Source organism: Homo sapiens, chromosome 1 (assembly GCF_000001405.40).
Source record: "Homo sapiens chromosome 1, GRCh38.p14 Primary Assembly".
Taxonomy (NCBI): domain Eukaryota; kingdom Metazoa; phylum Chordata; class Mammalia; order Primates; family Hominidae; genus Homo; species Homo sapiens.
In genome coordinates this window covers 207202855-207216049 of record NC_000001.11, presented here as the reverse complement: position 1 = coordinate 207216049, position 13195 = coordinate 207202855, and the positions used below count along the sequence as shown (strand labels likewise).

Here is a 13195-nt window from a genome sequence, read left to right as displayed (position 1 = left end):
TAGAGTTTATCAGCATAGGGGCAACCTCCCATATCACAGGATTTAACACCTTGGGAAGTGCCCTGGGAGTCAGTTCTAATATGATGCTTAAGAAAAATGATGGTCAATATTAAATGGGATAGAGATGCCAGAACTGCCATGGCAAACTAAGTCGGAAGAAATCACAGTGTCAGAGAATTAGATTTTGTTAGAACTATCTATTTTATAAGGCCATAGACCCACCAGCTATTTTCTTCATGAGAACCCTGAGGATGTACCATTTAACAAGCCAACAAGGAATGCACCCATGACAGGGACCAACATCACTGCAAAACTCAATAGTGGCTGGCCCTCTGTAGGCTGCGTCTTATGGTAGGATGGGCTATTACCAAATTTGCCTGCCCAATAGCAATGAGGATAACAGATTCCAGAGTAGCAGGGCTTATAGCAGTTACTTAATCTTCAGAAGCAAAAGGTGGGTGAAAAATCCTGTTTTGGACAGCATAGTCAGGACTGACATGATTCAAAAAATGTGCCTAGGATGCAAAACTTAAGGAGGCACTTGCTCTCAGGGTTGTGCAAGTACTGATTCTGCACTTGTATGACACTGTGAGTGAGTGCCTCCTTAAGAGTGAAGCATTTAGGGCAGCAAGGTGGGATTGCAGCCTGGGAGGGTGAGGATGTCCTGACCTGTAGGAGTCTTTGAAGAAGGCTACAGTATATGGTGTTCCTAAGGGCAAGGGCCCTCCAGTCTGGTGATTGCTTAATGTAAAAAGAGATCAAGAATGAACAATCCAAAGACTGAGGCTGGCCACTCCAGGCTCATGATCTCTTAGAAGAGAAGATTCTAAGATCTTTTAGAATAGAAAATCATGATCTCTTGCCTTTTATCTTGCTGATTGCCCTTTTTTTTTCTGACAATTTCCTCAGCAGTAAGTGAGAACAGGTCCATATGAGGAAGCACTGTGCAACCCCACAGTAGGTATACATAGTAGTGATTCTCTGGTCCTTCCGCAATGGAAACTTCAGTAATTGATTTAAGTAATTGGTCACTGTGCTTTTTAGAAACTTGTTGGATTTGAGCTACCTGTGGTACCTGGGAACAGAAAGTATGATAGTTCAAGTAGGAGCTACAGGGGCCAGGCAAAAAAGGATTCATAGTTCATGTCCATCTCCACTGTGTCTATGGCCCACCTGGTGGTCATTTCCATGGTTCCCAATGTAGAGTAGTTGGTGGGACACTCACATTAATTCCCTGACCTTTAGAAAAAGAACTATTGAGGTAAGAAACCCCATGCAGAAAATCTACAAATAATATCACTTTATGCTGAAACACAGATGTTTAAGATTAGGAACAAGGCAAGGATCTCTACTCTCACCAATACATTTATTGGAATATATAGCCCATGCAATAAAGCAGGAAAATAAATAAAAGGCATGCAGTTTGGGAAAGTAGAAATAAAACCTTTTATTTGCAAACAACATGATCATTTATGTAGTAAATCCCAGAGAATTTATAGAAAACCTAATAGTACTTATGAGAAAATTTAATAAGGCCACAGATACATGATCAATATACAAAAATCAGTTATATTCCTATACACTTGCAACGAACAATTGGAACTTGAAATTTAAAAAGCACTACCATCATAAGGGCAATATGCTGGGTGAAAATAAAATTTCAAAAGGTCACATGCTGTGTGATTTCATTTGTAAAACATTGTCAAAAGGACAAAATGATAGAGAGGGAGAAGAGATTACTAATTGCCAGAGTTAGGAATGGTGGGCCAGGGGAGAGGGCCAGGTGTGATTTTAAAGTAGTAGCTCAAGGGGGAATCTCTGTGGTGATGGAATAATTCTGTATTTTGATTGCTGTGGTGGTTACATGAGTCTATGCATGTGATAAAATAGCATAGAACCATAAGCACATATTAAACCAATGTCAATTTTCTAGTTTTGGTATCATATTATAGTTTCATAAGATATAACCAAAGAGAGGAAACTGGGTGAAGGGTACATGGGATTTCTCTGTATATATATATATATATATATATATATATATATATATATATATATGTGTGTGTGTGTGTGTATGTGTGTGTGTATGTATGTATTATATATGTGTATATATTATATATACACATATATATGTGTATATATTATATATACACATATATATGTGTATATATTATATATACACATATATATGTGTATATATTGTATATACACATATATTATATATGTATATATTATATATTATATATGTATGTATTATATATATTATATGTATATATATTATATAGACACATATATATGATTTCTCTATATTATTTTTATAACTTTCTATGAATCTATAATTATTTCAAAATAAAAAGTTTTTAAATGGACATACATTAAAGCTTTTTATGGTGCATGGCAGATGAAAACTCCAAAACATTCATGAAAAAAATCAAAGAAAATAAATAGAGTAATATGCCGTGTTCATGGATTTATATACAATATTATTAAGTCACTTCTCCCCAAATTGATCTACAGAGTCAAAGCATTCTAATCCAAATCCCAGTAGATATTTATATAGAAATTGACAAGCTATTTCTAAAATGTACATGGATATGCCGAAGACCTAGAAAACCAAAACATTTTGCAAAAAAAAAAAAAAAAAAGCTGAAGAACTCACACTTCTGATTTGAAGGCTTATTATAAAGCCACAATAGTCAAGACATTTTGAAACTGGCATAGGAATGGACATATAGGTCAATGGAAAAAATAGACTAGAGAAATACACCAATACGTAAATGGTTACTTGGTTATAGATGAATTGCAATGGTAATTCCATAAAAAAGGGTAGTCTTTTCCACAAATGATGCCAGAACACTTGGATGTCCATATAAGAGGGAAAAAAGATTCTTGACTCTTACTTTTCACCACATACAAAAATTAATTCAAATGGCTCATGGACATAAATGTAAAACTAGACAATTTTGGGACCTCTAGTTTAAGTGAGATACTATTCATTCATTGCTCTCTGTATTCCAGGGTCTATCTTTGTTATAAAATTAGATATCCAGTATACACCTGCCTGGATCTCAATAGCTGAATGTTTTACAAAAATATAAATGCTGACTGATGCTTTACTATATCAGTTTTACTTTTTTTTCTGTTCTTTTTTTTATTATTATACTTTAAGTTTTAGGGTACATGTGCACAACATGCAGGTTAGTTACATATGTATACATGTGCCATGTTGGTGTGCTGCACCCAGTAACTCGTCATTTAACATTAGGTATATCTCCAGATGCTATCCCTCCCCCCTCCCCCCACCCCACAACAGGCGCCGGTGTGTGATGTTCCCCTTCCTGTGTCCATGTGTTCTCATTGTTCAATTCTCACCTATGAGTGAGAACATGCAGTGTTTGGTTTTTTGTCCTTGTGATAGTTTGCTGAGAATGATGGTTTCCAGCTTCATCCATGTCCCTACAAAGGACATGAACTCATTCTTTTTTGTGGCTGCATAGTATACCATGGTGTATATGTGCCACATTTGCTTAATCCAGTCTATCATTGTTGGACATTTGAGTTGTTTCCAAGTCTTTGCTATTGTGAATAGTGCCGCAATAAACATACGTGTGCATGTGTCTTTATAGCAGCATGATTTATAATCCTTTGGGTATATACCCAGTAATGGGATTGCTGGGTCAAATGGTATTTCTACTTGTAGATCCCTGAGGAATCGCCACACTGACTTCCACAATGGTTGAACTAGTTTACAGTTCCACCAACAGTGTAAAAGTGTTCCTATTTCTCCACATCCTCTCCAGCACCTGTTGTTTCCTGATTTTTTAATGATCGCCATTCTAACTGGTGTGAGATGGTATCTCATTGTGGTTTTGATTTGCATTTCTCTGATGGCCAATGATGGTGAGCATTTTTTCATGTGTCTTTTGGCTGCATAAATATCTTCTTTTGAGAAGTGTCTGTTGATATCCTTCGCCCACTTTTTGATGGGGTTGTTTGTTTTTTTCTTGCAAATTTGTTTGAGTTCATTGTAGATTCTGGATATTAGCCCTTTGTCAGATGAGTAGATTGCAAAAATTTTCTCCCATTCTGTAGGTTGCCTGTTCACTCTGATGGTAGTTTCTTTTGCTGTGCAGATGCTCTTTAGTTTAATTAGATCCCATTTGTCAATTTTGGCTTTTGTTGCCATTGCTTTTGGTGTTTTCAACATGAAGTCCTTGCCCATGCCTATGTCCTGAATGGTATTGCCTAGGTTTTCTTCTAGGGTTTTTATTGTTTTCATCTTTAACATTTAAGTCTTTAATACATCTTGAATTAATTTTTGTATAAGGTGTGAGGAAGGGATCCAGTTTCAGCTTTCTACATATGGCTAGCCAGTTTAGTTTTCCCAGCACCATTTATTAAATAGGGAATCGTTTCCCCATTGCTTGTTTTTGTCAGGTTTGTCAAAGATCAGATGGTTGTAGATATGCGGCATTATTTCTGAGGGCTCTGTTCTGTTCCATTGGTCTGTATCTCTGTTTTGGTACCAGTACCATGCTGTTTTGGTTACTGTAGCCTTGTAGTATAGTTTGAAGTCAGGTAGCATGATGCCTCCAGCTTTGTTCTTTTGGCTTAGGATTGACTTGTCAATGCAGGCTCTTTTTTGGTTCCATATGAACTTTAAAGTAGTTTTTTCCAATTCTGTAAAGAAAGTCATTGGTAGCTTGATGGGGATGGCATTGAATCTATAAATTACCTTGGGCAATATGGCCGTTTTCATGATATTGATTCTTCCTACCCATGAGCATGGAATGTTCTTCCATTTGTTTGTATCCTCTTTTATTTCATTGAGCAGTGGTTTGTAGTTCTCCTTGAAGAGGTCCTTCACTTCCCTTGTAAGTTGGATTCCTAGGTATTTTATTCTCTTTGAAGCAATTGTGAATGGGAGTTCACTCATGATTTGGCTCTCTGTTTGTCTATTATTGGTGTATAAGAATGCTTGTGATTTTTGTACATTGATTTTGTATCCTGAGATTTTGCTGAAGTTGCCTGTCAGCTTAAGGAGATTTGGGGCTGAAACGATGGGGTTTTCTAGATATACAATCATGTCATCTGCAAACAGGGACAATTTGACTTCCTCTTTTCTTAATTGAATACCTTTTATTTCCTTCTCCTGCCTGATTGCCCTGGCCAGAACTTCCAACACTATGGTGAATAGGAGTGGTGAGAGAGGACATCCCTGTCTTGTGCCAATTTTCAAAGGGAATGCTTCCAGTTTTTGCCCATTTAGTATGATATTGGCTGTGCGTTTGTCATAGATAGCTCTTATTATTTTGAGATACGTCCCATCAATACCTAATTTATTGAGAGTTTTTAGCATGAAGGGCTGCTGAATTTTGTCAAAGGCCTTTTCTGCATCTATTGAGATAGTCATATGGTTTTTGTCATTGGTTCTGTTTATATGCTGGATTACATTTATTGATTTGCATATACTGAATCAGCCTTGCATCCCAGGGATGAAGCCCACTTGATCATGTTGGATAAGCTTTTTGATGTGCTGCTGGATTCGGTTTGCCAGTATTTTATTGAGGATTTTTGCATCCATGTTCATCAGGGATATTGGTCTAAAATTCTCTTTTTTTGTTGTGTCTGCCAGGCTTTGGTATCAGGATAATGCTGGCCTCATAAAATGAGTGAGGGAGGATTCCCTCTTTTTCTATTGATTGGAATAGTTTCAGAAGGAATGGTACCAGTTCCTCCTTGTACATCTGGTAGAATTCGGCTGTGAATCCGTCTGGTCCTGGACTTTTTTTGGTTGGTAAGCTATTAATTATTGCCTCAATTTCAGAGCCTGTTATTGGTCTATTCAGAGATTCAACTTCTTCCTGGTTTAGTCTTGGGAGGGTGCATGTGTCAAGGAATTTATCCATTTCTTCTAGATTTTCTAGTTTATTTGCGTAGAGGTGGTTATAGTATTCTCTGATGGTAGTTTGTATTTCTGTGGGATTGGTGGTGATATCCCCTTTATCATTTCTTATTGTGTCTATTTGATTCTTCTCTCTTTTCCTCTTTATTAGTCTTGCTAGTGGTCTATCAATTTTGTTGATCTTTTCAAAAAACCAGCTCCTGGATTCATTGATTTTTTGAAGGGTTTTTTGTGTCTCTATTTCCTTCAGTTCTGCTCTGATCTTAGTTATTTCTTGCCTTCTGCTAGCTTTTGAATGTGTTTGCTCTTGTTTCTCTAGTTCTTTTAATTGTGATGTTAGGGTGTCAATTTTAGATCTTTCCTGCTTTCTCTTGTGGGCATTTAGTGCTATAAATTTCCCTCTACACACTGCTTTGAATGTGTCCCAGAGATTCTGGTATGTTGTGTCTTTGTTCTCGTCGGTTTCAAAGAACATCTTTATTTCTGCCTTCATTTCTTTATGTACCCAGTAGTCCTTCAGGAGCAGGTTGTTCAGTTTCCATGTAGTTGAGCGGTTTTGAGTGAGTTTCTTAATCCTGAGTTCTAGTCTGATTGCACTGTGGTCTGAGAGACAGTTTGTTATAATTTCTGTTCTTTTACATTTGCTGAGGAGAGCTTTACTTCCAACTATGTGGTCAATTTTGGAATAAGTGCGGTGTGGTGCTGAGAAGAATGTATATTCTGTTGATTTGGGGTGGAGAGTTCTGTAGATGTCTATTAGGTCCTCTTGGTGCAGAGCTGAGTTCAATTCCTGGATATCCTTGTTAACTTTCTGTCTCGTTGATCTGTCTAATGTTGACAGTGGGGTGTTAAAGTCTCCCGTTATTATGGTGTGGGAGTCTAAGTCTCTTTCTAGGTCTCTAAGGACTTGCTTTATGAATCTGGGTGCTCCTGTATTGGGTGCATGTATATTTAGGATAGTTAGCTCTTCTCGTTGAATTGATCCCTTTACCATTATGTAATGGCCTTCTTTGTCTCTTTTGATCTTTGCTGGTTTAAAGTCTGTTTTATCAGAGACTGGGATTGCAACACCTGCCTTTTTTTGTTTTCCATTTGCTTGGTAGATCTTCCTCCATCCCTTTATTTTGAGCCTATGTGTCTCTGCATGTGAGATGGGTTTCCTGAATACAGCACACTGATGGGTCTTGACTGTTTGTCCAATTTGCCAGTCTGTGTCTTTTAATTGGAGCATTTAGCCCATTTACATTTAAGGTTAATATTGTTATGTGTGGATTTGATCCTGTCATTATGATGTTAGCTGGTTATTTTGCTCATTAGTTGATGCAGTTTCTTCCTAGCCTCGATGGTCTCTACCATTTGGCATGTTTTTGCAGTGGCTGGTACCGGTTGTTCCTTTCCATGTTTAGTGCTTCCTTCAGCAGCTCTTTTAGGGCAGGCCTGGTGCTCTTTTAGGGCAGGCCTGAGAGACAAAATCTCTCAGCATTTGCTTGTCAGTAAAGTATTTTGTTTCTCCTTCACTTATGAAGCTTAGTTTGGCTGGATATGAAATTCTGGGTTGAAAATTCTTTTCTTTAAGAATGTTGAATATTGGCCCCCACTCTCTTCTGGCTTGTAGAGTTTCTGCCAAGAGATCAGCTGTTAGTCTGATGGGCTTCCCTTTGAGGGTAACCCAACCTTTCTCTCTGGCTGCCCTTAACATTTTTTCCTTCATTTCAACTTTGGTGAATCTGACAATTATGTGTCTTGGAGTTGCTCTTCTCGAGGAGTATCTTTGTGGCGTTCTCTGTATTTCCTGAATTTGAATGTTGGCCTGCCTTGCTAGATTGGGGAAGTTCTCCTGGATAATATCCTGCAGAGTGTTTTCCAACTTGGTTCCATTCTCCCTGTCACTTTCAGGTACACCAGTCAGACATAGATTTGGTCTTTTCACATAGTCCCATATTTCTTGGAGGCTTTGTTCATTTCTTTTTATTCTTTTTTCTCTAAACTTCTCTTCTCACTTCATTTCATTCATTTGATCTTCCATCACTGATACCCTTTCTTCCAGTTGATTGAATCAGCTACTGAGGCTTCTGCATTCATCACGTAGTTCTTGTGCCTTGGTTTTCAGCTCCATCAGGTCCTTTAAGGATTTCTCTGCATTGATTATTCTAGTCAGCCATTCGTCTAATTTTTTTTCAAGGTTTTTAACTTCTTTGTCATGGGTTCGATCTTCCTCCTTTAGTTCAGAGTAGTTTGATCATCTGAAGCCTTCTTCTCTCAACTCGTCAAAGTCATTCTCTGTCCAGCTTTGTTCCATTGCTGGTGAGGAGCTGCGTTCCTTTGGAGGAGGAGAGGCACTCTGATTTTTAGAGTTTCCAGTTTTTCTGCTCTGTTTTTTCCCCATCTTTGTGGTTTTATCTACCTTTGGTCTTTGATGATGGTGACAAACAGATGGGGTTTTGGTGTGGATGTCCTTTCTGTTTGTTAGTTTTCCTTCTAACAGTCAGGACCCTCAGCTGCAGGTCTGTTGGAGTTTGCTGGAGGTCCACTCCAGACCCTGTTTACCTGGGTATCAGCAGCAGAGGCTGCAGAACAGCAGATATTGGTGAACAGCAAATGTTGCTGCCTGATGATTCCTCTGGAAGTTTTGTCTCAGAGGAGTACCCAGCCATGTGAGGTGTCAGTCTGCCCCTTCTCGGGGGTGCCTCCCACTTAGGCTACTCAGGGGTCAGGGACCTACTTGAGGAGGCAGTCTGTCCGTTCTCAAATCTCCAGTGTGTGCTGGGAGAACCACTGCTCTCTTCAAAGCTGTCAGACAGGGACATTTAAGTCTGCAGAGGATTCTGCTGCCTTTTGTTTGGCAATACCCTGCCCCCAGAGGTGAAGTCTACAGAGGCAGGCAGGCCTCCTTGAGCTGTGGTGGGCTCCACCCAGTTCAAGCTTCCTGGCTGCTTTGTTTACCTACTCAAGCCTCGGCAATGGTGGGTGCCCCTCCCCCAGCCTCGCTGCCACCTTGCAGTTTGATCTCAGACTGCTGTGCTAGCTATGAGCGAGGCTCCGTGGGCATAGGACCCTCTGAGCCAGGCACAGGATATAATCTCCTGGTGTGCCATTTGCTAAGACCATTGGAAAAGCTCAGTATTAGGGTGGGAGTGACCTGATTTTCCAGGTGCCGTCTGTCACTCCTTTCTTTGACTAGGAAAGGGAATTCCCTGACCCCTTGCGCTTCCCGGGTGAGGCAATGCCTCGCCCTGCTTCGGCTCATGCTCGGTGCGCTGTACCCACTGTCCTGCACCCACTTTCCGACACTCCCCAGTGAGATGAACCCGGTACCTCTGTTGGAAATGCAGAAATCATCCATCTTCTGCGTCACTCACGCTGGGAGCTGTAGACTGGAGCTGTTCCTATTCGGCCATCTTGGCTCCACCCCCCAACATGTCTCATCATCTCAGTTTTATAGGGGATTGATATATTTAGCTTTTTGAAGAACTTATCAACTGAAGTTAAAGGCATTATATATTATGTTATTCACTGTCCCTTGTAAAATAACTCATGCAAGAAAATTGCTTTCTATTTTCAAAACAAGAAAAAATGTTTCTCCTGTAAGCAGAACTGATATGTTTATTTTTGTCAAACAATGTAAATATGTGATACATTATAGTTCCCATTTTAATTTGACTCAAAATAAACTCAATTACAATTACTGTATAAATTTAAATTTAGGGAAATTTATCTCTCTTACATGACTTTGATTTTCCATTTTTATTTTAGCACATTTAAGTTATAAATATTGTTACAAACTAATATATTTAAACTTTTTGAAATTATTAAGCTTCTACTGGGTACTGAGGTAGACATAAAAAATGGAAAAATAAAATTTGGAAAAATTTTTTTCAGTATAAATATCCATTATTGGTTATATATTAATATTTACAATGAGGAAGAATTTATCATATCTTTAAACTTAAAATTATCAGTGTCTAGAAAATTGATAATTTGGTAAAAGTCTTGTGAACACAGGACTGATAGCTATTCACAGGGCTATTTCTGGATTGGAAACCTTTATTCTTTTTCTGAACCTTAATTTCCCACATTACAAAATGGCAGCTCAACCCATAGTCACCATTCACATATAATTTTTCATCTGAAAGTTTCTAGTTAAGCAGCTTCCTTTTTCCTAGGCTCTTTTTTTAAGCCTGGAGAGAGATTGAATCACATACTTACAGTTTGTTTCCCTATAGTCAGAGAAGAATATTTGGCAGCAGAAATTTTGTAATTGACCTTCTGCTGGACTGTATTAGTACCAAGTTAGTATTTCACATAATTTCATGTACTGTTTGCCCATGATATAATTATTAAGCACATCCTGTATACACACCTCTGAGGCAAATACAAAGATAAACTAGTCATAATAGAAGGAAAAACAAGTCACCTAAAAGCAGTTGATGAATGCGATGACTCTGCCTTCTAGAAATAGGAACAATTGTTTCAAGAAAGAATGTAAATGCTTTAAAGTTGACAATACAAAAGTAACGTTGTAGCAGAAACAGGGTGCTAGGTGGAGGGAGAAGTGGAGTTCCACAGGAAAATAGAAGCAGTAATCTTCTTTGTTGCACGATAGAAATTCAAGTTAATAAATAAGCAGGCAGGAGACTGGAGAATCATTCTCCAGAGAAACTGGGCAGAACAGAAGAGATACCAGTAAAAACTGATATTTGGGTATCCCTCTGAATTTGTTAGGGCATAGGCTAAGCTGCTATAACAAACACACTTCAAACACAACGGCTAACAAGGCAGAAGTTTATCTCTTTTTCATATGACAGTCCAGAGATGGAAGTGCATTCAGAACAGTCACGAGCTCTGACCCAAGTTGACAAGGTCATCCAAGGGCCAAATGCTTTCCCTTTCATTACTCTAGCATCCGCAGGAACTGTCCTCAGAATGGCAGAGGCTGACTCACCATCACTCTTGCCAGCACTTCAGCTCACCGCGGGGGGAAAGAGGAAGCGGAAAGCAAGTGGGGCCGGGCGCAGTGGCTCACGCCTGTAATCCCAGCACTTTGGGAGGCCGAGGCGGGTGGATCACAAGGTCAGGAGTTCAAGACCAGCCTGGCCAAGATGGTGAAACCCCATCTCTACTAAAAATACAAAAAAATTAGCCGGGCGTGGTGGTGGGCGCCTGTAATCCCAGCCACTCGGGAGGCTGAGGCAGAGAACTGCTTGAATCCGGGAGGCAGAGGTTTCAGTGAGTCAAGATCGCGCCACTGCACTCCAGCCTGGGCGACACAGCGAGACTCGTCTCAAAAAAAAAAAAGAAAAAAGAAAAGAAAAGAAAGCAAGTGACTTCTTTCCTAAGAAAGTAACTAGGAAGTTGTGCACATTGGGAGGTTACTCCGAGGGAGCATCTAACAGAGCAGCGGATACCCTGCTGATATTCAAAGGGGTGAGGGTAGTTGTATTACCTAAACAAGTAGGGGAAATGGATACTGGGAAGCAATCAGCAGTTTCTGCTACAACTGCCAATAAGAAAAAAGTAGTTCACTGCCCAATCTCACCATGTACATAGAACTTAAATAATCAGTGATATGGGTCTCACTCTTTAAAATGAATATATAACCTAGAACCATCATCAACAGAAGTTTGCAGAGAGCAGAATAGAACTTCCATAGAAACTATTATTAATATCCTCTGAGAAATATAGGTAGGCACTGTATCCATAAAAAACAGAATACTTTTTTAAATGAAGGGAATATTTTTGAAAATGGTTAAAATACAAAATCAAGAAATGATCCCCAAAGAATGTGGGGAAGGGATGAGACAGAGATGATGTATGGGAAAAAGAGAGAAAATTTAAGAAAATTACTAGATTGACAAAAAGGATCAATATCTGACCAGTAAGATTTCTCTAAAAATAAGAGAAAAATATAAAGAAGACAAAAAAAACTATACCAACAACATTTCTCAGAATAAAATATGAGTTTCCCTACAGAAAAACAAGGATAAAAACATCCTATATGATCAAGAATTAAAATGGTTCTGGCTTTTCTACTATAATATTGGAAACTGTAATACAAAAAAAGATACTGTTTAAAAGTTCTAAAAGAAAATTTTTTTAACCCAATTTTCTACACTCAGCCAAATTATCAACCAAGTGTGAGAATAAAGACAGTTTCAAATATGTTGGAGCTCAAAATTTTACTTCCTGTGCATCATTTCTTAGGTGGCTCCTGGAGGGTGTGTTCCAGTACAATGAATGAATAAGTCAAGAAAGAGGAGAACTTGAGTCCAAGAAGCAAAGACAGGGCAAGGAGGTGAGCCTACAGACTTGGGGGCATCCATTGTATATTATAGTGTGTAGCAGACCCTGTCAATGTCCTGTTAATATCATTAGGGCCCTGCCACTTCAGCACACTCTGGACAACTTCCAACTTCCCCAAATCTGCTTCATTTAGACCAGGCTCTTACCAGAACCATTGACAGCTACTCTGCCTTCTTACAGAGAAGGCCAGAAATGCTAAGATATTAATACCTCCCAGAAGCAGACCTCAAATCGTGAAAGCTATTATATCAATTTAATTTTACAATTGTATTAGAGGCAATGAAAAACACAATGTTTCAGGGATCTGGCAAAGGGAAGTGAGAGATATGAGTAGGGAGAGAGTGGAAGACTAGAACAACTTGTCAACAGATAGGACCACACAGAAAAGGCAACTGTAGAAGAGACCATCTTTTCCCTACCTTTGTGCCCTTGGCCTACTCTGGAGGTTGCTATAGACAGCCCATTAGGAGCCACTGGCTACCCATGTCTGTCTGCCTAACCATGATCCCCATCCTCTGAGCCTGCTCAACGAACCAATAGTGTGGATCCCTCATGTCTGGGAGCCATTGCTGCTAGAGCAAGACTTCACCAGTGAGGGAAGAGAATAGGTAGATATATACCCAGGTCTTCATCCTGAGGAGAACAACTCAGAGTTGAGTGTGCCACCAGCTCTCAGCGGGTTCTCAGCATGCTTGAGCCCCTCTTAGCAGTACGAGAACCTCCTCAACAATGTTTCCTCTTTTGCTTTCCTTCCTTTCCCATCTTACTGCCCATCAGTACTTTCTGAGACCCCCTTCCAAGGAAACCAGTTGCTCACAAATCCTTGTCTCAGGGGAACCCGAAATAAATATCAACAACAAAAAAAATTCCTAGCAGATGGAGCAGGCAATGGCTTTCAAGACCATAAACAGACAGCTTCAATGTTAAGTGGGCTTCTCTAACAGTTCAAGCCCCTCTGTTATAGCTGAGGTTCAATGATAGCCTGTCATACAC

At 39.3% G+C, this 13195-nt stretch overlaps 1 long non-coding RNA gene across 5 annotated transcripts in view; it reads left to right on the top strand.

Annotated features, from left to right (window-relative positions):
- Positions 1-13195, top strand: part of LOC107985251 (uncharacterized) — a 195120-nt gene that overhangs the window by 106080 nt on the left and 75845 nt on the right. Inside the window, exon 2 of one of the 5 annotated variants that reach the window (XR_007066840.1) lies at positions 12104-12194. The exons of 2 other annotated variants lie outside the window; for them this stretch is intronic. This is a non-coding gene — a long non-coding RNA (uncharacterized LOC107985251). Of the gene's footprint in view, positions 1-8057; positions 12195-13195 lie in introns of those variants that run through there. 2 more of the 5 variants (XR_007066843.1, XR_007066839.1) reach the window with 2 other exon arrangements.